Below are 26,096 nucleotides of genomic sequence, written 5' to 3' on the forward strand. Positions count from 1 at the left end.
CTTGACCTCAGGTGATCTGCCCACCTCAGCCTCCCAAAGTGCTAGGATTACAGGTGTGAGCCACAGTGCTAGCCTGGAATTTTTTTTTTTTTTTTTTTTGAGACGGAGTCTCTCTCTGTCACCCAGGCTGGAGTGCAATGGTGCAATCTCAGCTCACTGCAACTTCTGCCTCCTGGGTTTGAGCAATTCTCTCACCTCTGCCTCCTGAGTAGCTGGGACTACAGGTACACACCACCACCATGCCCGGCTCATTTTTGTGTTTTTAGTAGAGACAAGGTTTCACCATGTTGGTCAGGCTGGTCTTGAACTCCTGACCTCAAGTGATCCACCTGCCTCAGCCTCCCAAAGTGCTGGGGTTACAGGCGTGAGCCACCGTGCACGGCCAGAATATTTTTTAACAGTGTCACTACCCAGCTGAAACCCTCAAGGCTTATGGGGCCCAGCCTGACCTGTCGCCTGCTCTCCTCTGATTCCGTCTCCTACCATTCTTTCCATTGCTCAATCCTCCAGCCATACTGGCCTCCTCTCTCTTCCTTGAAATCCACCACTCCTGCCTCAAGGCCTTTCCACTTGCTGTAGCCTGTCTAGAAGACTCTTCCCCAGGTACCTGCCCTGACTGGCTCCTCAGTATTCAAGTGTCAGTTCCAATGTCCTTTTCTGTTTATTTTATTGTATTTTATTTATTTATTTTTGAGACAGAGTCTCACTCTTGCCCAGACTGGAGTGCAGTAGCGGGATCTCAGCTTACTGCAACCTCTGCCTCCCGGGTTCAAGCGATTCTCCTGCCTCAGCCTCCCGAGTAGCTGGAATTACAGGTGTGTACCACCACGCCCGGCTAATTTTTTTGTACTTTTAGTAGAGACAGGGTTTCACCATGTTGGCCAGGCTGGTCTCAAACTCCTGACCTCAGGTGATCTGCCTGCCTTGGCCTCCCAAAGTGCTGGGATTACAGGTGTGAGCCACCGCGCCTGGCTGATTTTATTTTTTAAAGATGCCTGTCACTCAGGCGGGAGTGCAGTGGCTCAAACATGGCTCACGGCAGCCCCAACCTCCCAGGCTCAAGCAATCCTCCTGTCTTAGCCTCCCAATATCTGGGACCCCAGCTGTGAGTCACCACGCCTGGGTAATTTTCAAAGTTTTTTGTAGAGATAGGATCTTGCCTTGTTGCCCAGGCTGATCTTGAATTCCTGACCACAAGCCATCTTCCTGCCTCGGCCTCCCATAGTGCTGGGATTACAGGTGTGAACCACCATGCCCAGCCTATTCTTTTCTTAGAGGGGCTTTTCTTGACAACCTAACTAAACCACTCTCCCCGCCCCCCGGCCCCACCAAAGCTTCCTGTTACAGCTCTGGAGTCTTCACTACCCAAAATTACATTGTTAGTTTACCTCATCCATGTATTCATCAAATATTTTTTGAACTCAACTCATAACATGTTCCAGGCACTGATTTAGCCTCTGGGGATAAACTGGTGAACAAGATAAAGTTCTTCTCCATTAACTATAGTCCCTAGTACTAGGTTAACACATGTTTGCTGATCAAGTGAATGGATACAACCATCTTGTTTTTTTCTTTTTTTTTTTTTTGAAATGGAGTCTTGCTCTGTCATCCAGGCTGGAGTGCAGTGGTGGGATCTTGGCTCACTGCAGTCTTCGGCTCCCAGGTTCAAGAGATTCTCCTGCCTCGGCCTCCCGAGTAGCTGAGATTACAGGCATGCACCACCACACCAAGCTAATTTTTAATTTTAATTTTAGTAGAGACAGGGTTTCACCATGTTGGGCCAGGCTGATCTCGAATTCCTGACCTCAAGTGATCTGCCCACCTTGGCCTCCCAAAATGCTGGGATTACAGGCGTGAGCCACAGCAATCTTAAAAAGAGGAGTTATTAGCCTTATTTTCATATGAGATCGTGACTTGTGTGATGGAGCTGGATTTGAACCTCGACCTGACTTCTTTTCCAGTACTTCTCCACCTCACCTCCTTTTTTACTGCCTTCACCCATGGACTGTTTCTTGGCTAATTCTGTTCTCCCTGCCTGGTGATCCAGGACAGAATCACTGACAGCGTGGGGCCAATGTGAAGAATTCCAGGCTAGGGGAGAAGGAGGTCTGCTTTGAAGTCTAGCCTCTGCAAGATTAAGTGTGATCTTGGAGAGTTTACTGTGTTTCTCTGGGCTTCTGATGTCACATTGCCAAAGTAGGAAGAAAGTCCTTTGGAAAGTGTGGGGCTGAACCTATGTATGAGGGGCTGTACTGCCAGCCACTGTGGTTCTGCTCTGGGCATCTCCCTGGCTTCCCAGGACTGTGTCCTGGGACTGGCCCCTGCCCCTCTGGGGGCCTCTGCCCACAGCCTTGCCATCCCACTAGCAGCTCTGGGCTCCTGCCTGGCTGCTGCAGGCTCCGAGCTCTTTCCCCAGGGAATTACGCTAGGCAGCCAGGAGGCTTGCAGGTGGGCACCCTGCCAAGTCTAGTCTGGTAGCCCCTCCACCTACCATCTGGCAGCTGGGACCCCTGCCTTAACTCTGGACTTGCAGGCAGGGTGAGTGATCTGCTGCTGGATTGAGTATCTTCGGTCCTCCTAATCATACTCTACTGGAGCAGAGCACCCACGGACTCCTGGCCTCAGTTGCCTTTCTGTGCCCCTGCACCCCATTTAAGGGGTGGGGTCGGCAGATGGGCGGGATCAGTGGCGAAGGTGGGAGGAGGACATGGAGAGCAGCCCCTCCCCCTCCTCTGTCTGGAGCCGGTGCTCTGCGGCGGGGCGGGAGGGCTCGCATCCCCATAGTGCTGGGTTACAGTGAAGGTACGCCCCGCGCTCTGCTCTGGAGAGGCAGGGTGGGATAGGGAACGTCTCGAGTGGCGCCCGCAGTCATGGTGGTGTTCGTTGGCCGCCGCCTCCCGGCGCTCCTAGGGCTGTTTAAGAAGAAGGGTGAGTGGGTGTGGCTTGGGGGGAGGGGAGGGATGCTCGATGCCTCCCTTTCCCAGACCCTTATGTAGAATGAGGAATCAAGGCTGGGCAAAAGTAATGGGGTGGGGCTGGGGGCTGATAATGAGGCCAGAATCTCCCATCCGGCTGTGCTTTTGTCCAGCCGCTTTGTTGCTGCCTTTGTCTGGGCCCTGCTTGTGGGTTGGGAGGATGGATCCAGGTGTCTCTGACCTTGAAGCCTGCAGCCCTCCCGTGAGACTTGCCTCCCTGCCGGGGTACCCACACTTTACTGGGTACAGCCTCCCAGTCAAGATGTACTAGCCTTTCCTAGTGTGCCGGGGAGGATGGGACGTGGGCGGCCCAGAAGAGAGGAGAGTAGTACCACTGGAAGTTGGGAAGCCTGCTCAGTGAAATCCTGTTTAGAGGCCTGGGAATGGAGAAGTTTTGGAGGGAGGGGCCTGTTCCTCCTTCCTTCTCCTAGGAATTGGGCTTTCAGACCTGGATTAAGACATAGGGACAAGAGTTTATTGGACTTTTGAGGGTTGGGGGCCCCTACTCTGAGTGTGATCCGGGAGTCCCCTCTGGGAACCTGGAGTTGAGTCCAGGGTCAGTCTGACTCCTACTGCTGGGTGACCTTAGGCAAGGCCTTGCCCCTTTGAACCGTTTCCCCACTTGTAAAATCTGGGGATCTCGGGCACTGGTCTGGTTGGATCTGTTGGGGGCCTCCTAGCTCTGACCTGTGGGATTCCTGCAGACTCCCTAGGGCAGGAGCTCTGGCTGTTGACGAATGGGCTGAGGGAGGAGGAAAGGCAGGTTTCTGAACTGAAGACCCTGCTCCTGGAGCATGGCCCTTTAAAGGGCTTGTTTTGTTCCCGTCCCTTTATAAGGTGTTACCAAGGTCACATGACCCTTCCAGCGCTTTTGCTTATGTTGTGGGTTTCATTTAAAGGGGGGGCTGGGGCTGCAAAGTGCTGACACAGCCCCCCATCCCCAGGATTAGATGGCCAGCCCCTCCACAGGCGGGGCTTGTAACAGGATCCTTTGTAATGGATCCCTGGCTCCTCTGCAACAGGGGCCAGGGCCAGGGCCAGGGCCTCCAGGAGAGGGGGATACCTGGGACTATTTCCCCAAGAGAGACTGGAGCTCCCTTGGGCGGGTGGAGGGGCCTGGGTCTTTCTTCTCCCCTCCCCTGCCCATCCTTCCACTAAGGGGCAGCCACATGGGTGAGTAGGGGACCCAGGAGGCTATCTCCTTGGTCTGCATCCCCCCTAGGATTTTCTGGGAATATGGTTGTAACTCATGCCAGCTGTCTCTCCTTCCTGATTTCCCGTGATATCTTCTTCCTGGACCTGGTTCAAGTGGTGGCATGAAAAGAGTGGTTTGTTTTCCTGTGAAGTGGGGTTTTGGGTATGGAGGCGAGAGCAATGTATTTACTATGGGCTATGTGTATACTCGGGATGTTTTTTGTGGGGCTCTGAGTGACGTGTGAGTACATAGTCGTGTGTATACTTGGTTACTGTTTGTGTATATACAGAGCAGGGACTGTGGGTGTTGTGTGTTTACGTGCGGGCTGGGTGTGCTTGGTGTGTGTACCTATGTGTGTTTATACTCGGATGCCCTTTGTTTATATACATGAATGACATCTGTGAGTGCTGTGTACGTACACAGTAGACCTGTGTACCTGTGTGCCCTGTGTGTGGGGCCTTATATGGGGCCCTTTGTGTGGTGTGGGTACTCAGATTTATGTACACTTGGGTGTAGTTTGTGTATATGGGGGCTGTGTGTGTTGAGTGTTTACTCCAGAACTGTGGGTTATGTGTCCAGACTGGGGAAGGGGGCATTGCTTGTATATGCAATGGCCGTGTGCAGTCTGGGGACCATGACTGCCCTTGCCGTGAGACCTGTGCCCCTGCAGGGCCCAGATGCCTTTACCTCATTTCCCTTCCTCCTCCCTCCTACTAGGCTCTGCCAAGGCTGAGAATGACAAACATCTAAGTGTAGGGCCTGGCCAGGGGCCAGGGTCTGCAGTGGATGAGCACCAGGACAACGTCTTCTTTCCCAGTGGGCGACCCCCCCACCTGGAAGAGCTGCACACTCAGGCCCAGGAGGGGCTCCGCTCCCTACAACACCAAGGTAAGCTTCCTCTCCACTCCCCTCCCCTCTCCTCCCTCCAGTGCTGCACTGTCAGCTGTCAAGGTCAGGGGCCTAACCCAACAGACCCTTCTGGTGTCTTCCAGAGAAACAGAAACTGAACAAGGGTGGCTGGGACCATGGAGACACCCAGAGTATCCAGGTGAGCCCTGCCTCCAGCTCAGTCCTGACTCTTCTCTACCTGCTTGACCCCTGGCAAGGATGTCTTGGAACATTTCTGGGTCTCAGTTTCTTTATCACAAAGGGCTACACTAAATGAACCCTGAGGGCTAGTTCAGGGTTGCTCAGTGCTAGGTGATGCTGGAGGGGATCTGTGACTCAAAAGTTCGAGTGGGAGGCTGGGCGAGGTGGCTTACACCTGTAACCCCAGCACTTTGGGACGCTGAGGTGGGCGGATCACTTGAGGTCAGGATTTTGAGACCAGCCTGGCCAAAGTGGTGAAACCCTGTCTCTACTAGAAATACAAAAATTAGCCAGGCATGGTGGGAGGGTACCTATAATCCCAGCTGCTTGAGAGGCTGAGGCAGGATAATCGCTTGAACTTGGGAGGCGGAGGTTGTGGTGAGCCAAGATTTCGCTACTGCACTCCAGCCTGAGCTGGATTTGTCTCAAAAAAAAGTTCCAATGGGGAGCCTTGAGGAGACAGCCCCACCCAGATCTCCTTCTACCCTGATAGTCCTCCCGGACGGGGCCGGATGAAGACAACATCTCCTTCTGCAGTCAGACCACATCCTACGTGGCTGAGAGCTCCACAGCAGAGGACGCGCTCTCCATCCGCTCGGAGATGATCCAGCGCAAAGGTGGATTCATGGGCAGGGGAGAGGGACAGTGGGCTCCATTGGGTCCCAGCATCTGTAGCTTCTTTTCCTCCTTATCCAGTGTTTCACCAGGCTCTCTGATTCAATGAATTCGGGAAACACAGTACCCTGTGTCCTCTTGCACATTCGTGATACACACTAACTATAAAGCAGTTAAGAGTTAGAAAATCTTGGCGGCCGGGTGCGGTGGCTCACGCCTGTAATCCCAGCACTTTGGGAGGTCGAGGTGGGCGGGTCACGAGGTCAGGAGATCGAGACCATCCTGGCTAACACGGTGAATGAAACCCCGTCTCTACTAAAAATACAAAAAATTAGCCTTGCCTGATGGCGGGTGCCTGTAGTCCCAGCTACTTGGGAGGCTGAGGCAGGAGAATGGCGTGAACCCAGGAGGTGGAGCTTGCAGTGAGCCGAGATTGCACCACTGCACTCCAGCCTGGTCGACAGTGTGAGACTCCATCTCAAAAAAAAAATAAAAAAAGAGTTAGAAAATCTTAACTGTTGGAAGCCTGGTGTAACTAACTAGTGCCAGCTGTGTGACCTTGGGAAAACCCTTAACCTCTCTGAACTTCTGTTTGATGTTCTATAAAAATGAGGATAAGTACCCTATTGGAATGAATGCCAAATGTTTAGAATGACGACTAACACGTAATAATATGTTTACTAAATAGTAAGCTATCACTAAAGGGAAATTACCATCATTGACTTAGTAGCCTTAGTCTTACAGAAAGAAGCCTCTAGCTTTGTTTAACCTAGCCTTGCCCATACCTACTTGACTGTGGAAACCATTTCTCGCAGAGCTCTTATTACAAAAGTAGTGCCCTGCAGAATGTGCCTGGAGTCCTTTGCTCTAACAGTTTTTCTCCCACGACTGGCCCCCAGGCTCCACCTTCCGACCCCATGACTCATTTCCCAAATCTGGAAAGTCAGGGCGGCGTCGGCGGGAGCGGCGGAGCACTGTGCTGGGACTCCCGCAGCATGTGCAGAAGGAGCTTGGTGAGGCCTGGGTTAGGAGGGCAGTGGTGGGGTGGGTGGGGAGCCTTGGTCATCCCCTCTCTGCTGACCCCACCTCCTCCCTGTCCCTTCCAGGCCTGAGGAATGAGCGTGAGGCACCAGGCACGCCCCGGGCTCCTGGTGCACGGGATGCCGTACGCATCCCCACAGTGGACGGCCGCCCCCGAGGCACCTCAGGGATGGGGGCCCGGGTGTCCCTGCAGGCGCTGGAGGCGGAGGCGGAGGCTGGCGCTGAGACAGAGGCCATGCTGCAGCGCCACATTGACCGTGTCTACCGGGATGACACCTTTGTTGGCCGGTCCACGGGTACCCGGGCCCCACCATTGACCCGGCCCATGTCCCTAGCAGTGCCTGGATTGACAGGAGGGGCAGGGCCTGCAGAGCCCCTGAGCCCGGCCATGTCCATCTCCCCCCAGGCCACCTACCTGTCGAAGTTGATTCCACATGCTGTGCTGCCGCCTACAGTGGACGTGGTGGCCCTAGGCCGCTGCAGCCTGCGCACACTAAGCCGCTGCAGCCTGCACTCGGCCAGCCCAGCCTCAGTCCGCTCGCTGGGGCGCTTCTCCTCCGTCTCCAGCCCACAGCCCCGCAGCCGCCACCCATCCTCCTCCAGTGACACCTGGAGCCACTCTCAATCCTCCGACACCATTGTGTCTGACGGTTCCACCCTCTCCTCTAAGGGTGGCTCTGAGGGCCAGCCGGAGAGCTCTACGGCTAGCAATAGCGTGGTACCCCCTCCCCAGGGAGGCAGTGGGAGGGGCTCTCCCAGTGGGGGCAGCACTGCTGAGGCCTCAGACACACTCAGCATTCGGAGCAGTGGGCAGTTGTCTGGCCGGAGTGTGTCCCTGCGTAAGCTGAAGCGGCCTCCACCCCCTCCCCGCCGGACCCACTCCCTCCATCAGCGGGGCTTAGCAGTGCCTGATGGGCCATTAGGGTTGCCCCCTAAGCCTGAGCGTAAGCAGCAGCCCCAGCTGCCTCGGCCACCCACCACTGGTGGCTCAGAAGGGGCGGGGGCAGCACCCTGTCCACCCAACCCAGCCAACAGCTGGGTACCTGGCTTGTCTCCGGGTGGTTCCCGGCGCCCCCCACGGTCCCCAGAACGGACACTTTCGCCCTCCAGTGGATACTCGAGCCAAAGTGGTACTCCCACCCTCCCTCCCAAGGGCCTGGCAGGTCCCCCTGCTTCCCCAGGCAAGGCCCAGCCCCCTAAACCAGAGCGTGTCACGTCTCTTCGCTCCCCTGGGGCCTCCGTCTCCTCTTCCCTCACGTCTTTATGTTCCTCCTCCTCTGACCCAGCCCCCTCAGACCGCTCTGGGCCACAGATATTGACCCCCCTGGGTGACAGGTTTGTCATACCTCCTCACCCCAAGGTGCCTGCCCCCTTCTCCCCACCTCCCTCCAAGCCCAGGAGCCCTAACCCAGCTGCCCCTGCTCTAGCCGCCCCTGCTGTGGTTCCTGGGCCTGTTTCTACCACTGACGCCAGTCCTCAGTCCCCTCCCACTCCCCAGACAACCTTGACTCCACTGCAGGAGTCTCCTGTCATCTCCAAAGACCAGTCACCCCCACCTTCCCCACCCCCATCTTATCATCCACCCCCACCACCCACTAAGAAGCCAGAGGTGGTTGTGGAGGCACCATCTGCCTCAGAGACTGCTGAGGAGCCCCTCCAAGATCCCAACTGGCCCCCTCCCCCACCCCCTGCCCCTGAGGAGCAGGACCTGTCCATGGCTGACTTCCCCCCACCAGAGGAGGCTTTTTTCTCTGTGGCCAGCCCTGAGCCTGCAGGCCCTTCAGGCTCCCCAGAGCTTGTCAGCTCCCCGGCTGCTTCGTCCTCCTCAGCTACTGCTTTGCAGATTCAGCCCCCGGGTAGCCCAGACCCTCCTCCAGCTCCGCCAGCCCCAGCTCCTGCTAGTTCCGCCCCAGGGCATGTGGCCAAGCTCCCTCAGAAGGAACCGGTGGGCTGTAGCAAGGGTGGTGGGCCTCCCAGGGAGGACGTAGGTGCGCCCCTGGTCACGCCCTCGCTCCTGCAGATGGTGCGGCTGCGCTCCGTGGGTGCTCCAGGAGGGGCTCCCACCCCAGCACTGGGGCCATCGGCCCCCCAGAAACCACTGCGAAGGGCCCTGTCAGGGCGGGCCAGCCCAGTGCCTGCCCCCTCCTCAGGGCTCCATGCTGCGGTCCGACTCAAGGCCTGCAGCCTGGCCGCCAGTGAAGGCCTCTCAAGTGCTCAGCCCAACGGACCGCCTGAGGCAGAGCCACGGCCTCCCCAGTCCCCTGCCTCAACGGCCAGTTTCATCTTCTCCAAGGGCTCTAGGAAGCTGCAGCTGGAGCGGCCCGTGTCCCCTGAGACCCAGGCTGACCTCCAGCGGAATCTGGTGGCAGAACTCCGGAGCATCTCAGAGCAGCGGCCACCCCAGGCCCCAAAGAAGTCACCTAAGGCTCCCCCACCTGTGGCCCGCAAGCCGTCTGTGGGAGTCCCCCCACCCGCCTCCCCCAGTTACCCTCGAGCTGAGCCCCTTACTGCTCCTCCCACCAATGGGCTCCCTCACACCCAGGACAGGACTAAGAGGGAGCTGGCGGAGAATGGAGGTGTCCTGCAGCTGGTGGGCCCAGAGGAGAAGATGGGCCTCCCGGGCTCAGGTACAGTGGGCAGTGCTAGGGTGAGGTCCCATTGCTGATGATGGGAAGTAGGAATCTGAAGTCCCGCCATGGGGGATTTGTTCTTGGATCTTTAACTTTTCTGGTCTGAGAATGCCTGGGAAGGGCAAGCTGTCACCCTTGCTGGGGCCCAGAGGAGAATGGTGTGTGAGTGTCAGGCCTACTGTGTTTGAATTCCAACTTTGCCTCTTTCCCTACCCTTCCTAGCTACATTGTAAAGTGTGGGGCAGTGACACCTACATTATAGTGTCTGAACATGTGTAGGGTGTCCAGCCCAGTGCTGCGGGCACTGTCAGTAAATCAAAGCGGTAAGAAGGTTGGGTGAGGGTATGCTTTGTTGGGCTCCTAGTGCCAGAACCAAGCCAGGAGGCCCCTTGCTAAGTGTCTCTTATTTTTCTCCCCCAGACTCACAGAAAGAGCTGGCCTGACCACCAGGCACCTCACTGGCACTGCTGACCCATCCCAGAAACACAATCTCAGGGACCCGAGCAGCTCCAAGGACGAGAGGATACAGCAGACACAACCTAATAGAGAGGGCGCCTGCAGCCTTAACCTCCACGGCCTTCGATACTTATGCAAGCCTGGTGTTGCTCCTGTCCTCAGAGTCATCCTGCGCTCATGCCTTTTCCCGAATGGGTTCACCTCTGGCAGTTGCCGCTTCAGTCTTGGCCTTAGCCTCATCTTGAAGTGGGTAGCTGGCGGGAGAGGGTGGCTGCGCCCCCTGCTGGCCCTGAGGCTGCAGAGTTGGGAGCAGGACACCTCACCTGAGTTTCATTTTTTTTCATGTCCAAACCATGCACATACTATAGTCCAGAATCAAAGCACTTTTGAAAAGTGGCTGCATGGCCATCCTCCAGGGCCCAGGAAGTTGCATTCCAAGGGCCTGTTTACATGGCAGCAGAATCCATCCCCGGCAGTCAGCCCATAGCTTGGGACCAGTCTGTGCCCTCCTGCCCAGTCCAGTTTACTCCTCTTGGTTCCTGAAGGTGGCCAAGTCATTGTGTTCCCACAGGCTTCTCTAGGCTGGGGGCAGGTGTGGGGCTGTGGAATTCCAAAGCACAAAAGGTGCAGAGGGGATTGGCCTTCCTGTGCCTCAACTCACCAACCACCCTCCTGCCTTCCAGTTCTGCCAGGTGCTCCATGCTGGGGACAAGTAGGAGACTGCCAGGGCCCAAAGAAATGGGTGAGCAGTAGAGTCATCTCGGGGCACTTGGCAGTGTCAAGCACCTGCCCCTTGCCTCCTTGACCACACTGGGGTGGGTGGGCCCCCAGCACTTCAGAGGCAGGAGCCTTTGGGCTGAGCAAGCACTGAGGAGGTGGATGGAAGGGAGCATCTGGAGGGGGGGAGCTTCCTTGAGCAGTGGGCCCAGGCCTGGCCCTCCACACTTCATTCTCTGACCTTTCTCTCTCCTCATTTCGGTGCATGTCCTTTCTGCAGCTGCCTTTCAGCACAGGTGGTTCCACTGGGGGCAGCTAACGCTGAGTGACAAGGATGGGAAGCCACAGGTGCATTTTACTCAAGTCTTCTCTAGTCAATGAGGGGCACCCAGTGCTTCTAGGGCAGGCTGGGTGGTGGTCCCCTAGGTATCAGCCTCTCTTACTGTACTCTCCGGGAATGTTAACCTTTCTATTTTCAGCCTGTGCCACCTGTCTAGGCAAGCTGGCTTCCCCATTGGCCCCTGTGGGTCCACAGCAGCGTGGCTGCCCCCCAGGGCCACCGCTTCTTTCTTGATCCTCTTTCCTTAACAGTGACTTGGGCTTGAGTCTGGCAAGGAACCTTGCTTTTAGCTTCACCACCAAGGAGAGAGGTTGACATGACCTCCCCGCCCCCTCACCAAGGCTGGGAACAGAGGGGATGTGGTGAGAGCCAGGTTCCTCTGGCCCTCTCCAGGGTGTTTTCCACTAGTCACTACTGTCTTCTCCTTGTAGCTAATCAATCAATATTCTTCCCTTGCCTGTGGGCAGTGGAGAGTGCTGCTGGGTGTACGCTGCACCTGCCCACTGAGTTGGGGAAAGAGGATAATCAGTGAGCACTGTTCTGCTCAGAGCTCCTGATCTACCCCACCCCCTAGGATCCAGGACTGGGTCAAAGCTGCATGAAACCAGGCCCTGGCAGCAACCTGGGAATGGCTGGAGGTGGGAGAGAACCTGACTTCTCTTTCCCTCTCCCTCCTCCAACATTACTGGAACTCTATCCTGTTAGGATCTTCTGAGCTTGTTTCCCTGCTGGGTGGGACAGAGGACAAAGGAGAAGGGAGGGTCTAGAAGAGGCAGCCCTTCTTTGTCCTCTGGGGTAAATGAGCTTGACCTAGAGTAAATGGAGAGACCAAAAGCCTCTGATTTTTAATTTCCATAAAATGTTAGAAGTATATATATACATATATATATTTCTTTAAATTTTTGAGTCTTTGATATGTCTAAAAATCCATTCCCTCTGCCCTGAAGCCTGAGTGAGACACATGAAGAAAACTGTGTTTCATTTAAAGATGTTAATTAAATGATTGAAACTTGGCTGTGGCTACTGCTTCTTAATGTGGGGGGGACAGGGCAGTGGTCTGGGCCCACATTTAGAAGGGAAAATGTTTTGCCTGCTGCACACATTGGACCCAAGTATGGGCCTCTTCTGCCTAGTACTGCCAAAGGGACTGTTAAGGTGTCTTGTCCATCTTCTACCCCCCACCCCCCATTACAGGGTAAAGGAACCCCAGACTAGGTGAGGGGCCAGCAGCTGCCTCACACTTGTGTTCTCTCCTGAGATGGTCCAGCTCACATCCAGACACCCTTGTTCAGACATTTTATTTGAATTTATGACAGTGATGGGGATTTGACTGAGATGCCTTATGGAGAAGTACCCCACCCTCTATGAAGACAGAATCACTCTCTGCCATTCATTCTGCCTGATGCTAACAACACGCAGCTGATTTAGGGAGTGTCCCAGCCTAGCTGGATCAAGGGAAATTCCAGGAGCCCTGGGGCAGGCCCTGGCCCCCAGTGCCAAGCCTCAGAGTAAGCAGACATTGGGAAAGTTGCCAACCACTTGGTAGACCACTAGGTTCTCTGTTTTCCCTTCCCTTTCCTTTTCAAATCCCACAGTTTCCTGTTGGGGAGAAGCTGTAATTAGCCTAGTCCAGGTACCAGATCCCAGCTAGGGGCGCAGCTGCTTGGATAACTCCAAGAAAACCTGGGCACCAGTATTTTTCCAATTATAAGGACTGTGGCATAAATTTTTAAATGAGTTATATTGAAACCAGATTTCTCCAGCTGCCAAGGGAAGAAGGTAGGGCTGGACTCCCTGCTGTGGCCCAGCCCTTGTTAGGGGTTGGTCTCTCACTGCAGCCAGACAGGATGATCCTGGGTTCTGGGGAGGGTAAGCTGCCCCTTGCCGAGTTCTGCACCGAATAAAGAGTCCAAACCCGCTGCTTCCGTGTCCTGAGAGATGGGTAAATGGGTGATGGATGGAGCAGACTGAAGAGACAGCAGATGACTCAGTGGTGGAAGAAGGGGGGAAGATGCTGGGCTGGCTAGCTAATGTTCCCCCCTTTCAGCGATTTACAGGAAATGGAGCCCAGCTTGGTCATGAAGTTGGTTTGCTTCCACTGTGCGATGCACTCCTCAGAAATTTTGAAGTCAGCCTGGACAAGACAGATAAGAGAGATTTTAATGATGGTGGTGGGACTGCAAGAAAACCCCCCCTTTTTTGGAGGGGGGGCAGAGTTTTGCTCTTGTTGCCCAGGCTGGAGTGCAATGGCGTGATCTTGGCTCACCGCAACCTCTGCCTCCCAGGTTCAAGCGATTCTCCTGCCTGAGCCTTCCGAGTAGCTGGGACTACAGGCATGCACCACCACGCCCGACTAATTTTGTACTTTTAGTAGACACGGGGTTTCTCCATGTTGGTCAGGCTGGTCTTGAACTCCTGACCTCAAGTGATCCGCCTGCCTCGGCCTCCCAAAGTGTTGGGATTACAGGCGTGAGCCACTGCGCCCAGCCTGAAAACTCTCTTATATACCAGTAGGGTAAGGTAAGCTGGCTCAGCTTTTCTAAGAAATGTTTGTCAAAAGCTTTCACATTCATCTTTTGACTCAAGTAAGTTCATTTTAGGGAGTTAGTTTAAGAAAATAAACCTAAGTGCAAAGGCTTATGCATGAAGACATCTGTCACATCTGTCACATCATTCTAACAGTGAAAAACCAAATAACCTCAATGTCTAATAAGAGTTTAGTTAGATTGCCGGGCGTGGTGGCTCACACCTATAATCCCAGCATTTCGGGAGGCCGAGGTGGGCGGATCACGAGGTCAGGAGATTGAGACCATCCTGGCTAATACAGTGAAACCCCGTCTCTACTAAAATTACAAAAAATTAGCCGGGTGTGGTGGTGGGGCGCCTGTAGTCCCAGCTACTCAGAAGGCTGAGGCAGGAGAATCACTTGAACCTGAGAGGAGGAGGTTGTGGCGGGCCGAGATCACGCCACCACACTCCAGCCTGGGTGACAGAGTGAGACTCCGTCTCCAAAAAAAAAGAGCTTAGTTAGATTTTGATAATTATGGTAGAATACTATACAGTGCAACCCCTCAATTTTTTTTTTTTTTGGGATGGAGTTTTGCTCTCATTGCCCAGGCTGGAGTGCAATAGCGTGATCTTGGCTCACTGCAACCTCCACCTCCCAGGTTCAAGCAATTCTCCTGCCTAAGCGTCTTAAGTAGCTGGGATTACAGGCATACGCCACTGTGCCTGGCTAATTTTGTATTTTTAGTAGAGACGGGGTTTCTCTATGTTGGTCAGGCTGGTCTCGAACTCCCGCCCTCAGGTGATCTGCCTGCCTTGGCCTCCCAAAGTGCTGAGATTACAGGCGTGAGAGAAATCATGGCCAGGAGGCTTGGAACAGTGGCTCATGCCTGTAATCCCAGCACTTTGGGAGGCCCAGGTGGGTGGAACATGAAGTTAGGAGCTTGAGACCAGCCTGGCCAACATGGTGAAACCCCATCTCTACTAAAAATACAAAAATCAGCTGGATGTGGTCGCAGGCACCTGTAATCCCAGCTACTCAGGAGGCTGAGGCAGGAGAATTGCTTGAACCTGGGAGGCGGAGGTTGCAGTGAGCTGAGATTGTGCCACTGCACTCCAGCTTGGGCGACAGAGCAAGACTCCATCTTGGAAAAATAAATAAATAAATAAAATAAAAATCATGGTCAGGTACAGTAGCTCATGCCTATAATTCCAGTGCTTTGCAAGGCTGAGGCGGGAGAATCACTTGAGTCCAGGAGGTTTACAGGCTTGAGGTTACAGGGAGCTATGATGGCACCACTGGAATCCAGCTTGGGTGACAAGAGTGAGACCCTGTTTCTAATTAATCAACAGCATTTAGTATGACTTAAACCATAAACGTATTATCACTCCAAGCATAGCAAAAGACCAGAAGGAAATAATCACTAATAACATTCTTTAATATCTCTATGTGGCAGGACTAGGATTTTTTTTTCTCCTATATTTTAGATGTTTTCTACCATGAAAATTTATTTTATAGCCAGAAAAAAAGAGATTCACAAAGTCAGCCTAGAAAACCAGGAAAGGAGGGAGTGGGCAAAGCAAATGGCCTCATGCAAGAGGATGGAGAGTAGAAATGACTCTCAGTGTCCTCCAGAAGCACTCCTCTATCTCACTGAAGAAACACGGTATTAACTAGAAAGAGTCACCCATGAGTGTTAGTTCCATGAGGAGAGTCAACTCCTGCTGCTTTATTCATTGAGGTAGCCCAAGCACCCAGAATACTGCCTGACAGCTATATTATGGAATCGGTATTTGTTAAATGAATGAGTGAATGAATTCAGGGATCACTGGGGCAGGCCAGATTTTCATTGTCCAGAAGGCAAGGAGACAATGAGTGCTCTAAACTCAAGATGGGCAGGAGGGACCCTGGGAAGGTTTTGATCCTGGCCTCATCATTTCTTTCTTTCTTTCATTTTTTTTTTGAGACAGAGTCTCACTCTGTCGCTTAGGCTGGAGTGCAGTGGCGTGATCTCGGCTCACTGCAAGCTCCACCTCCCAGGTTCATGCCATTCTCGTCTCAGCCTCCTGAGTAGCTGGGACTACAGGTGTCTGCCACCGCGCCCGGCCGATTTTTTTCTATTTTTAGTAGAGATGGGGTTTTACTGTGTTAGCCAGAATGCTCTCGATCTCCTGACCTCATGATCCTCCCGTCTTGGCCTCCCAAAGTGCTGGAATTACAGGCGTGAGCCACCACGCCCGGCCAATCCTGGCCTCATCATTTCTTTTCTTTTCTTTTTTTTTTTTTTTTTTTGAGACGGAGTTTCACTCTTGTTGCCCAGGCTGGAGTGCAATGGCGTGATCTTGGCTCATTGCAACCTCTGCCTCCCGGGTTCAAGTGATTCTCCTGCCTCAGCCTCCGGAGTAGCTGGGATTACAGGCGCCCACGACCACGCCTGGCTAATTTTTTGTATTTTTAGTAGAGACAGGGTTTCACCATGTTGGCCAGGCTGGTCTTGAACTCCTGACCTCAGGTGATCCGCCTGCCTCGGCCTCCCAAAGTGCTGTGATTACAGGCATGGGACACCATGCCTGGCCCTGCCCTCATCATTTCTGGTGACCCTATGTGGCCTTGTCAGGTATCCTGCCAGGTAAAATGGGGATAATCTCCTATTACAGACTGAAGATCAAATGAAGAAATGTCTGAAGTCCCTGACACAGGGCCTCAAATGATCTGTCGGAGATGTAATGCAAGGTCCTAAGACCCCCATGCTCCTTAGGCACCTTGAATTCAAAAAGGTCTGGAAAGAAGGAGGGAGAGAGGGGCTCAAATGCAGGAAGTCCCAACAGAGAGGGGCAGCTATGGCTTCAGTAACAGGACAGTCTGGGGACACAGTCCAGGCAGCCCAGCCAAGAAAGGGAACAATTACAGCTTTTTACCTGCAACTTCTCGAAGACTTTCTTCTTGGGCTTGAGCTCCTCATCTGGTTGGCCCTTTTCATAGCCCTTCACAAACACGTGCTCACCAGGAGCAGAGCCTGCCGGAGGGTCCAGAGGTTCAACCTGGCGGTTTATCCCTTCTCTGGGAAGACACAGGACAAGAGAAGAGTGAGGCTATGGATGGGTTCCAGTGACTGTGGAGGCCAAAGCAATCCGGGCCTTTACACAGGGGCCCTGATGGGATTTAGGGCATCCTCAGTACCAGAGCCCCAGGAGGTCCTCTTATCTTGCTACATCCCTGCATATCACCAGGGTTACATTAACCCAGGCTATACCAAAATTGTGTGTCAAGATACCAAAATCTGTGTTTCTAGGGGAGGAAGTATAAAATAACGTAGCGAGGACTTTATAGACATCAAAACTGGGATTTGAATCCCTGCTCCACTCCTTACTAGTAGTAAGACTTGGGTATGTACTGGTTTGAGCCCTCCATTTCTATTTTAACAAAATTAACTGTAGGTAAAATGCTTCATTAACAGTACTTGTACGATAAGTCCTTCATGCATCAACTTTTGGCATCAGCAAGGAAGAGGCACGTGTTCTCAGAGCTTCCACCTGGTGTGTGGAAGGACATCATATGGGCTGATTCCCTACTCTTCCTGGCCTCCCCAGGTCCTGTGCCCCACTCCAAGTCCTCACTCACATAGAAGCACACAGAAGCATGCCTTGGGACTCGACTCCTCTCATCTTCTGGGGTTTCAGGTTGCACAGCACCACTACCAGCCTGTCCTGCAGTTCCTCCTTGGGCACGAACTGTACCAGGCCGCTCACCACAGTCCGTGGTTCAGCTTCCCCCACGTCAATCTTCTCTACATACAGGCTGTCTGCATCTGGGTGCTGCCAGGGAGAGACGTCAGGAGGAAGAGGATCATCGTCCATTAGAGAAGCAGCCTGGTGAACTCTTGGATTCCGGAAAGGAGCATCCACTCCTTACAGAGGCCCCTGGAAAGACCCCCTAGAGCTAACTTTCTTTCCACGTCCCAGACAGCAGACAGGAGAATGGGCTCTGATGGTATACTCTGCTCTCAACTGAGGCCAGATTTGAGTAAAGTGGACCTAGATGCTTGTGTTAAGAGGTGGAAGGATCTCTAAGCCATCTGATGCAGGAGCACCAGCATTGATCTCAGGGTGGTTTTGGTGGTTGGGGTACACAGTGAGAAGCAAATCCATGTCGAAGGGAAAAAAAGCCCAGAACAATGGTCCCAGGCCACTGGGTGCATAACCTTCTGTCTCTGGGAAAAAGGAAGTCTTCCCTCCACCACTTTCTGAAGGGGGCAAAGTGGCCCATCCAAGATAAGGCCTGTAGCTAGTCCAGGCAAGCCGATAGGGATCAGGTGAGTCTATCAGACCAGATTTAACAGATAAACAAGTTCCCTCTGACTAACATCCGTCCCCCATGCTGAGTTCCTGGCTGTGTTTGGTTGCATAATATCCACAGGCAACAATCGCAACAGAAAGCCTGATGCCTGGAATTAGACACCTGCACTCTGACTTGCAATATGACCTCAGGATGTTACTTCCCATCTCCAGGCCACGTTTCCTCCGGATGGAAACAGACAAACCTGACCCCAATCTGCCTCTCTGAGATGTGGTGAAAAATGAGTACCTTCTCCACAGTGATGATTTTCCCCACACGGATATCCAGCCGGGATGGGATGACCTCCTCTGGTTCTGAATTCTTGGCAGGGCCTTTGGCCATTGGCTCTGGGAATGAGAAGAACCCCATGAGGTAGAATTCTTCCCTGTGGCAGGTCAGCTGCTGATCCCACCACGTTAAGACACTGAGATTAGGTAAGATTTAGTGTAGAATCCCCAGAGTCTAAACACTGAGTTGTAACTTCTTTAATACTGGGTTGGCAACCTTTCAGACATGACATACCTGATTTTCATCTGTTCTCTCCCTCAATTATTAGACTAGCGGGGAGGGAGCAGTAGTAGCTTTGCCTCCTTTAGGTATTTCCATTCATGCATTCCACATAGAATTTACTGAGTCTTGGCCAGGTGTGGTAGCTCACACCTGTAATTCTAGCACTTTGGGAGGCTGAGACGGGAGGATTGCTTAAGCCCAGGACTTCAAGACCAGGCTGGGCAACAGAGCCAGACTCTGTCTCTTTTAGAAAAAAAAAAAAAAAATTTTACTGAGTTACTGAGTTTTTTTCTGGAAGGGTCGCACAAAGCTATCAATGCCAATATCTTAGCATTACGCACAAGTGGATGGCCAACTAAGAGCCAGGCCCATGCACATAGAAGGAAACTGGGAGAATCTAAAGATAAGCTTCTCTAAGCTCTGCAGGCTCTGCCCAACAGCTGTGTAAGAAACTATCGATACCCTATATACCGGTTGGGTATAATAGGTCTAATCTAATTTCTATCATTTTTCTTTTTTTGAGACATAGAGTCTCACTCTGTTGCCCAGGCTGGAGTGCAGTGGTGCGATCATGGCTCACTGCAGTCTCAACTTCCCCATGCTCAGGTGATCCTCTCACCTCAGCCTCCCAAGTAGCTGGGACTACAGGCATGTGCTACTATGCCTGGCTAATTTTTTTTTTTTTTTTTTTTGGGTAGAGACTGGGTTTTGGTCTCTAACTTTTGGGCTCAAGTGATCCGCCTGCCTCAGCCTTCCAAAGTGTTAAGATTACAGGTGTGAGCCACTGTGTCTGGCCCCGGTCACTATCTTTAATGAAGAGGCAGATTTAACAAACAGACTAGAAGGACCAAAGTATACATCTTACACCAGCAGCTCTCAGCAATGCCGGTACAAAAGGATGTGATCACTTCCTGATGTTAACCAAACCCAAATCAAAATGACTCAAGTTCCATTCTAGGAGCCAGTAGGACATGACATTCCTGCACTTCAGACCCCCTGGGTTGTTGTGCCCTCAATTTAAGACAGGCATTTTTCCAAGGCTCATTGACAAGCTCTCTCTCCTGATGATGTCGGCCCCTCTCCAGCTGGCCTTACTCTGCTTTGAGGGATCTGGGTAGGCAGCGCTGGCCAGTTTTTTCAGGGCAGGGGTATTAAACTTTTCCCGGATTGGATCCAGCAACTTGTTCAGTGCGACTTCAACAGAATTCTTCAGGTCTCCAGGATGTACAACCTGCAGAATCGAACAAGACCTAGTGAGATAAAGTCTAGAACAGGGCACAGGACACCTGAATCCAAAAAAGTAGGATCAAGGGAGTTTTTCCCAACAGTCTTATTTGATCCTTGTGATAATCTTGTGAGGCAGGTAGGAGAAGGGAAAATACATTCAGAAAGACTAACGTGTCCAAAATCCAAGTCTTTTGATTCTGAAATCTATACTAACTTGAGGGTGTTTAGGAGCTGAATGTATTTGTTAGTCTAATTCTTCTAGTCCCTCCATTTATGCTTAGAGTAGGGTCACAGACCAACTGGTATTTACAAGCAGAGAAACATTCACATAGGTAACCCAAGGCCTAAAGATAACCTGAGGGAGACAGCTGAGTAAGAAGAAAGAGGAAGGGCTTTGGAGTTCGACAGACCCAGATTAGATTCCCAGCTAGCTGTGTGCGACTCCAAACTAGGCACATAACCCCTCTAAGCTTTGGCTGCTGCTTTTTCTCTTTTCTTTTTGTAGAGACAGGGTCTTGCTATGTTACCCAGGCTGGTCTTGAACTCCTGGGTTCAGGCAATCTGCCTGCTTCTGCCTCCCAAAGTGCTAGGATTACAGGCATGGGCCAACGTGCCGGGCCAGTGTTGGCTTTGTTACTTATAAAGTGAAGCTAACAACAGCTATATCTCACAGGATGGGGATGAGGGTTAAATCACTGAATGTGGGTGTGAAAATGATGAGAACGCTGCTCGTACATGGTAATAGTTCAGTAATTCCATTTTATTCCTTGTGTCCTGTGACTGCCTTTTCTTTGAGACGGAGTCTTGCTCCGTCGCCCAGGCTGGGGTGCAGTGGCGCAATCTCAGCTCATTGCAACCTCTGCCTCCTGAGCTCAAGCAATTCTCCTGCCTCAGCCTCCTGAGTAGCTGGGACTACAGGCGCATGCAGCCACGCCCAGCTAATTTTTTGTATTTTAGTAGAGACGGGGTTTCACCATGTTGCCCAGACTGGTCTTGAACTCCTGACCTCGTGATCCACCTGCCTCAGCCTCCCAAAGTGCTGGGATTACAGGTGTGAGCCACCACGCCCAGCTGACTGCCTTTTTTATATCTCAAATCTGGTCTGAAAGAATCTTCTAGATATTCTGAGGGGACATCCCTTAGGAATGAACACTTTTAATACAACAAAGCGAACATTTTTGTTTCTGATACTACTTCTTCATTTCCTTGGGAATATTTAATTTTAATAAAAGCTCTAGGGCTGCTGCTGTCCAATATGGTGGCTACTAGCCTTGTGTGGGTATTTAAATGTAAACTGAAATTCAGTTCTTCAACTGCACCTGCCACATTGCAAGTGCTCAACAGCCACATGTGGCTTCTGTATCAGGCAGTACAGATAGGACATATCCATCACCACAGAAAGTACTGTTGGATAACATGGCTGCAGACCTTTTTTCTGAGGAATTTCATCTATTCCTAATTCCCACAAAAGACTTTTTTTTTTTTTTTGAGACATGGTCTCGCTCTGTTACCCAGCTGGAGTACAGTGGCGCAATCATGGCTCAGTGCAGCTTTGATCTCCTGGGCTCAAGCGATCCTCCCACCTCAGCCTTCCCAGTAGCTGCGACTACAGGCATGCGCCATCATGGCTGGCCAGTATTTTGATTTTTTTTTTTTTTTTGTAGAGACAGAGTCTCACTATGTTGCCTAGGCTAGTCTTCAACTCCTGAGCTCAAGCAATTCTCCTGCCTTGGCCTCCCAAAGTGCTGGGATTACAGGTGTGAGCCACCGCACCTGGCGTACATTAACATTTCTAGCAGCTCCATTAAATTGGTTGGACCTGAATTCAGAGTCAATCACAAAACCCCCCATTTTATTCCTATATATGGTATTATCACATCTTCCCTTTGTGACCTGGCCCTGCCTATCTCTCCCATAATCCCCCTCCTCACCTTTTAGACTCTAGTCAGACCAAACCACCTGGAATTCCTCATACATCATGCTGCTTCATCCTACCATGTCTTTGTACAACTTATTCCCTCACAGATTTCCTTGTGAACTCCTATTCCTCAAGCAAAATAGTGCTTGGATAGTGTCTCCTCCACAAGCTTTTCTAGAGTCAGTTAATCATTTCCTCCTATATTATTTCTGGTATATATATATTCTTTTCATTATATATATTCACATATATATTTTCACACATATATTCACATATATACACACATACACACATATGTTAAAAAACACATATAGATATATATGTAAAATGCAGCCAATGAAATGTTTACAAGTCTGCCTCGCCTACTGGACTGAGCATTAGGAGGACTGAACCCTCTGTGTAATACCAGTCCCTAGCATAGTGCCTAACACATGGGCACCTAGTAAGTCTTTTGTTCAAGTGTCTGTTGAAATGAATAGGAGCCTCTATTCTGTCCTTTTATAATTATCTCTTGTTTTTGAATCCTGATTTTGCATCTGTTCCTGAAATACTTCATTTTTGCTGAGTTAGGTCCTTTATTCCAGCCTGCTAAGTCATTTGGAGAGTGATTAAAGCACCAGTATATTAGCATTGTACCATTTGCCTATCGAATCTGGGAACCACCTGAATCCTCATCAAAGCCATTAACAAAATATGCAGCCCTGGAGAGCATAAACAGAGCCCTGGCCGGGCACAGGGGCTCACGCCTGTAATCCCAGCACTCTGGGAGGCCGAGGCAGGCGGATCACCTGAGGTCAGGAGTTCAAGACCAGCCTGGCCAACATGGTGAAACCCCGTCTCTACTAAAAAATATGAAAATTAGCCGGGTGTGGTGGTGGGCACCTGTAATCCCGGCTACTCAGGAGGCTGAGGCAGGAGAATCGCTTGAACCTGGGAGGCGGAGGTTGCAGTGAGCCGAGATCGTGCCACTGCACTCCAGCCTAGGCGACAGAGTGAGACTCTGTCTCAAAAAAAAAAAACCCCACAAAAACACAGAGCCCTGTAGCATATAACTACAAACCTAGCGGGCCAAGATGGAGAGGTCTGGCAGAGTTGAGTGGGGATTATCTTTCTTTTTCTTTTCTTTTCCTTTCTTTTTTTCTTTTTGAGACGGAGTTTCACTCTTGTTGCCCAGGCTGGAGTACAATGGCGCGATCTCGGTTCACTGCAACCTCCGACTCCCAGGTTCAAGCGAATCCCCTGCCTCAGCCTCCCGAGTAGCTGGGATTACAGGTGCGTGCCACCATGCCTGGCTACTTTTTTGTATTTTTAATAGAGATGGGGTTTCTCCGTGTTGGTCAGGCTGGTCTCGAACTCCTGACCTCAGGTGATCCACCCACCTCGGCCTCCCAAAGTGCTGGGATTACAGGTGTGAGCTGCTGCACCCAGCCCATTTTCTTTTTTTTTTTTTTTTTTAGTATCTCATGTAATTTATTGAATACAGAAAGTGAAAAACAGAATGGTTGTATGGGTACTTGAAGAAGTATGGTTTCTACTGAATGAGTACTGCTTTTGTACATCCTAAAGGGACCACTCGTGTGTATAAGATTACAGACATTTACTGATAAGAAATGTTTCCTGAGAAGAGGTGAGACAGAGTCCCTGCCAGGTAAGGAAAGGGCCCCGAGGGATAGAAATCCATCTGTATTAACAAAATTCCTAAGTCAGAAAAGCTAACTGACAAGAAACTTTAACCAAAACTGCAATTTTGAAGGAAAATGGACACTAGTGAGATTACCAAAAGTAGAGCAAAAATAGCAGGCAGCTCACTTTTACACAGAACAAGTTGTTCTAAACAAGTTCTAACAGTCAGCAAAAAATAACAAAATACAGATCTTCATGAAAGGATTCCTTTTCCTTTCATGTTACCTCAGCAGCAAAGTCCTTTTCCAGGTCCACGTAAGCTGTGTAGGTTTTGTTTCCACCCCATTTCTCATCTCGTAGGATCACAAACTCTATAAGGAAAAGGATCCATGTCAACAAACTCATTGACAGCATTCCTAGCTCACATGCATGACTATTCCTAGCCCACATGCATGACTATTTGTAGTTTTTGCCATATATTCTGAACTTTATTGTATGGTATTATTCTTAAATTGGATGAGTGGCACTATTGTATACCCAGCTAGCATCTCAGCTGCTTCAGGGGAAGGCTTGTGGCTTATATCTATTTTGTTGTATTCCTCTAGTTCAACATGTCTGCCCCCACCCTTACTTCTAACACCTCTGCCCACTCCAGTATTCCCTCAGAACCTAGCCTGGTAACGAATATATGGACAATTAAATTACATCCCAACATCATTCATACTTTAATATATAAGAAATCAGAGCAGAGAATCAGGGCAGCCAGTCCCTGAAGGAAGAGTCTGTGACAAATCACAAGTATGATCACAGCACGAACTTTTCTATTCTAGCCTGGCCTCTAGGAAGAAAACAGAGAGTGTTACCGGACTTAAGGGGAAAAAGGACATGCTTGATGAAGGACAGAACCCCATTGTTCTCCACATTTCCTGGCTCACAGAAGGCCTTCTTCAGTTTTTTCTTCACATCCTCCTTCCGATCAAGGAGATCAATCTTGGACTCCTAGAAGTCATAGAACGGAAGAGGACCTCTTGTGGTTGAAAATGAGAATATGCTCAACTAATATAAGTTAAATTTTGTTTTTTCTTCTCTGTCACCCAGGCTGGAGTGCAGTGGCACAATCATGGCTCACTGCAGCCTCAGCCTCCTGGGCTCAAGAGATTCTCCCATCTCAGCCTCCTGGAAAGCTGGGACTACAGGAATGTGTCACCATGCCCAGGTAATTCTATTTTTTGTAGAGACAGGGTTTCATCATGTGGCCCAGGCTGGTCTCAAACTTCTGGGCTCAAGCAACTCTCCTGCCTTGGCCTCCCAAAAAGTGCTGGGATTAAAGGTGTGAGCCACTGTGCCTCGCTAAAAAAATTCTTTTTACAAAGATTTTAACATTAGGTACTTGCAGATATTTTCCTGTGGATGTGGTAAAAATAAATAAATAAAGATTTTTTTTTTTTTTTGAGACGGAGTCTCACTCTGTTGCCCAGGCTGGAGTGCAGTGGCGCCATCTGAGCTCACTGGAAGCTCCGCCTCCTGGGTTCACGCCATTCTCCCGCCTCAGCCTCCCGAATAGCTGGGATTACAGGTGCCTGTCACCACGCCCAGCTAATTTTGTTTTTGTATTTTTAGTAGAGACAGGGTTTCACCGTGGTAGCCAGGATGGTCTCGATCTCCTGACCTCGTGATCTGCCCCGCCTTGGCCTCTCAAAGTGCTGGGATTACAGGTGTGAGCCACTGCACCCGGGCAATAAAAATATTTTAACATTTGGCTGGGCACAGTGGCTCACACCTGTAGTCTTATCACTTTGGGAGGCTGGAGAGTCGCTTGAGCCCAGGAGTTCAAGACCAGTGTGGGCAACATAGAAAAACCTCATCTCTACTGAAAATAAAAAATTAGCTGGGTGTGGTTGTACGCGCCTGTGGTCCCAGCTACTCAGGAGGCTGAGGCAGGAGGATCACTTGAGCCTGAGGTTGAAAGTGCAGTGAGGCATGATCATGCCACTACACTCCAGCCTGGGCGACAGTGAAAAACCACTCACAATCCTGCCATCTAACAAATTAAACTATTTTATTTTTTATATTCTTCTCAGGCTTTGTTTATAGCACACAAAATTGTTATGAATTTGTAGTTGGAGAATAAATGTCTATCTTTTAAGTATTTCTGAGTGGCTACCTGGTCCTTACTTACAATTTTTTTTCTTTTCAGATGGTCTCGCTCTGTTGCTCAGGATGGAGTACAGTGGTGCAATTATAGTTCACTGTAACCTCGAACTCCTGCCATTAAGTGATCTTCTGACCTCAGCCTCAAGAGGAGTTAGGACTACAGGTGTACAAAACCATGCCTGGCTAATTTTTATTTATTTATTTATTTATTTATTTTTTGAGACAGTTTTGCTTTTGTTGCCCAGGCTGGAGTACAATGGCATGATCTCGACTCACCTCAACCTCCGCCTCCTGGGTTCAAGCGGTTCCTCCTGCCTCAGCCTCCCAAGTAGCTGGGATTACAGGCATGCACCACCAAGCCCAGCTAATTTTGTATTTTTAGTAGAGACGGGGTTTCTCCATGTTGGTCAGGCTGGTGTCGAACTCCCGACCTTAGGTGATTCACCCGCCTTGGCCTCCCAAAGTGCTGGGATTACAGGCGTGAGCCACCGCACCTGGCATGCCTGGCTAATTATTTGTTAAAATGGGGTCTCACTGTGTTGCCCAGGACAATCTCAAACTCCTGGCCTCTAGCAATCCTCCTGCCTCAGCTTCCCAAAGTGTTGGGATTGATAGGATCTTGCTTGCTCTGTTGCCCTGGCTGGAGTGTGGTGGCACAATCATGGCCCACTGCGACCTTTGCCTCCCAGGCTCAAGTAGTCCTCCTACCTCAGCCTCCCATGTAGCTGGAACTATTGGTGCATGCCACCATGCCTAGCTAATTTT

General features: G+C 51.1%; 2 protein-coding genes across 6 annotated transcripts in view, besides 6 other annotated features; one reads left to right on the forward strand and one right to left on the reverse strand.

Annotated features, from left to right (window-relative positions):
- Window positions 1-12,071, forward strand: part of NHSL3 (NHS like 3) — a 33,141-nt gene extending 21,070 nt beyond the window's left edge. For 2 of the 4 annotated variants that reach the window (NM_020888.3, NM_001369553.1), the window contains exons 2-7: window positions 4,888-5,058; window positions 5,163-5,218; window positions 5,753-5,876; window positions 6,774-6,887; window positions 6,981-9,542; window positions 9,966-12,071. In NM_020888.3, coding sequence (NP_065939.2) covers window positions 4,888-5,058; window positions 5,163-5,218; window positions 5,753-5,876; window positions 6,774-6,887; window positions 6,981-9,542; window positions 9,966-9,988 — 3,050 coding nt within the window. In that variant the 3' untranslated portion in view covers window positions 9,989-12,071. Of the gene's footprint in view, window positions 1-2,727; window positions 2,929-4,887; window positions 5,059-5,162; window positions 5,219-5,752; window positions 5,877-6,773; window positions 6,888-6,980; window positions 9,543-9,965 lie in introns of those variants that run through there. The other 2 variants (NM_001198972.2, NM_001198973.2) reach the window with 2 other exon arrangements.
- Window positions 2,743-3,635: an enhancer, noted in NCBI's record as "H3K27ac-H3K4me1 hESC enhancer chr1:33231243-33232135 (GRCh37/hg19 assembly coordinates)". NCBI's record gives its function as "activates a minimal SCP1, AML or CMV promoter by ChIP-STARR-seq in primed H9 embryonic stem cells {active_cell/tissue: H9 hESC(primed)}" and the evidence as "EXISTENCE:reporter gene assay evidence [ECO:0000049][PMID:30033119]".
- Window positions 3,636-4,529: an enhancer, noted in NCBI's record as "H3K27ac-H3K4me1 hESC enhancer chr1:33232136-33233029 (GRCh37/hg19 assembly coordinates)". NCBI's record gives its function as "activates a minimal SCP1, AML or CMV promoter by ChIP-STARR-seq in naive H9 embryonic stem cells {active_cell/tissue: H9 hESC(naive)}" and the evidence as "EXISTENCE:reporter gene assay evidence [ECO:0000049][PMID:30033119]".
- Window positions 6,576-7,491: an enhancer, noted in NCBI's record as "H3K27ac-H3K4me1 hESC enhancer chr1:33235076-33235991 (GRCh37/hg19 assembly coordinates)". NCBI's record gives its function as "activates a minimal SCP1, AML or CMV promoter by ChIP-STARR-seq in naive H9 embryonic stem cells {active_cell/tissue: H9 hESC(naive)}" and the evidence as "EXISTENCE:reporter gene assay evidence [ECO:0000049][PMID:30033119]".
- Window positions 10,109-10,403: a silencer, noted in NCBI's record as "tiled region #15696; HepG2 Repressive DNase unmatched - State 25:Art". NCBI's record gives its function as "represses a minimal TATA promoter and a strong SV40 promoter by Sharpr-MPRA in HepG2 cells {active_cell/tissue: HepG2}" and the evidence as "EXISTENCE:reporter gene assay evidence [ECO:0000049][PMID:27701403]".
- Window positions 12,340-26,096, reverse strand: part of YARS1 (tyrosyl-tRNA synthetase 1) — a 42,120-nt gene continuing 28,363 nt past the window's right edge. For both annotated transcript variants that reach the window (XM_011542347.3, NM_003680.4), the window contains 7 exons: window positions 24,041-24,176; window positions 23,463-23,548; window positions 19,505-19,640; window positions 18,149-18,246; window positions 17,186-17,379; window positions 16,483-16,624; window positions 12,340-13,192 (listed from right to left, as the gene is read on the reverse strand). In XM_011542347.3, coding sequence (XP_011540649.1) covers window positions 13,082-13,192; window positions 16,483-16,624; window positions 17,186-17,379; window positions 18,149-18,246; window positions 19,505-19,640; window positions 23,463-23,548; window positions 24,041-24,176 — 903 coding nt within the window. In that variant the 3' untranslated portion in view covers window positions 12,340-13,081. The remainder of the gene's footprint in view (window positions 13,193-16,482; window positions 16,625-17,185; window positions 17,380-18,148; window positions 18,247-19,504; window positions 19,641-23,462; window positions 23,549-24,040; window positions 24,177-26,096) is intronic.
- Window positions 17,855-18,024: an enhancer, noted in NCBI's record as "experimental_6796 CRE fragment used in MPRA reporter constructs". NCBI's record gives its function as "activates a minimal promoter by MPRAs in K562 erythroleukemia cells, with activity observed for both the introgressed and non-introgressed 1:33246440 variant alleles {active_cell/tissue: K562}" and the evidence as "EXISTENCE:reporter gene assay evidence [ECO:0000049][PMID:34662402]".
- Window positions 23,429-24,628: an enhancer, noted in NCBI's record as "BRD4-independent group 4 enhancer chr1:33251929-33253128 (GRCh37/hg19 assembly coordinates)". NCBI's record gives its function as "activates an origin of replication core promoter dependent on BRD2, P300/CBP, MED14 and CDK7 cofactors, and independent of BRD4, by STARR-seq in HCT116 cells {active_cell/tissue: HCT116}" and the evidence as "EXISTENCE:reporter gene assay evidence [ECO:0000049][PMID:35650434]".

Source organism: Homo sapiens, chromosome 1 (genome assembly GCF_000001405.40).
Source record: "Homo sapiens chromosome 1, GRCh38.p14 Primary Assembly".
Classification (NCBI taxonomy): domain Eukaryota; kingdom Metazoa; phylum Chordata; class Mammalia; order Primates; family Hominidae; genus Homo; species Homo sapiens.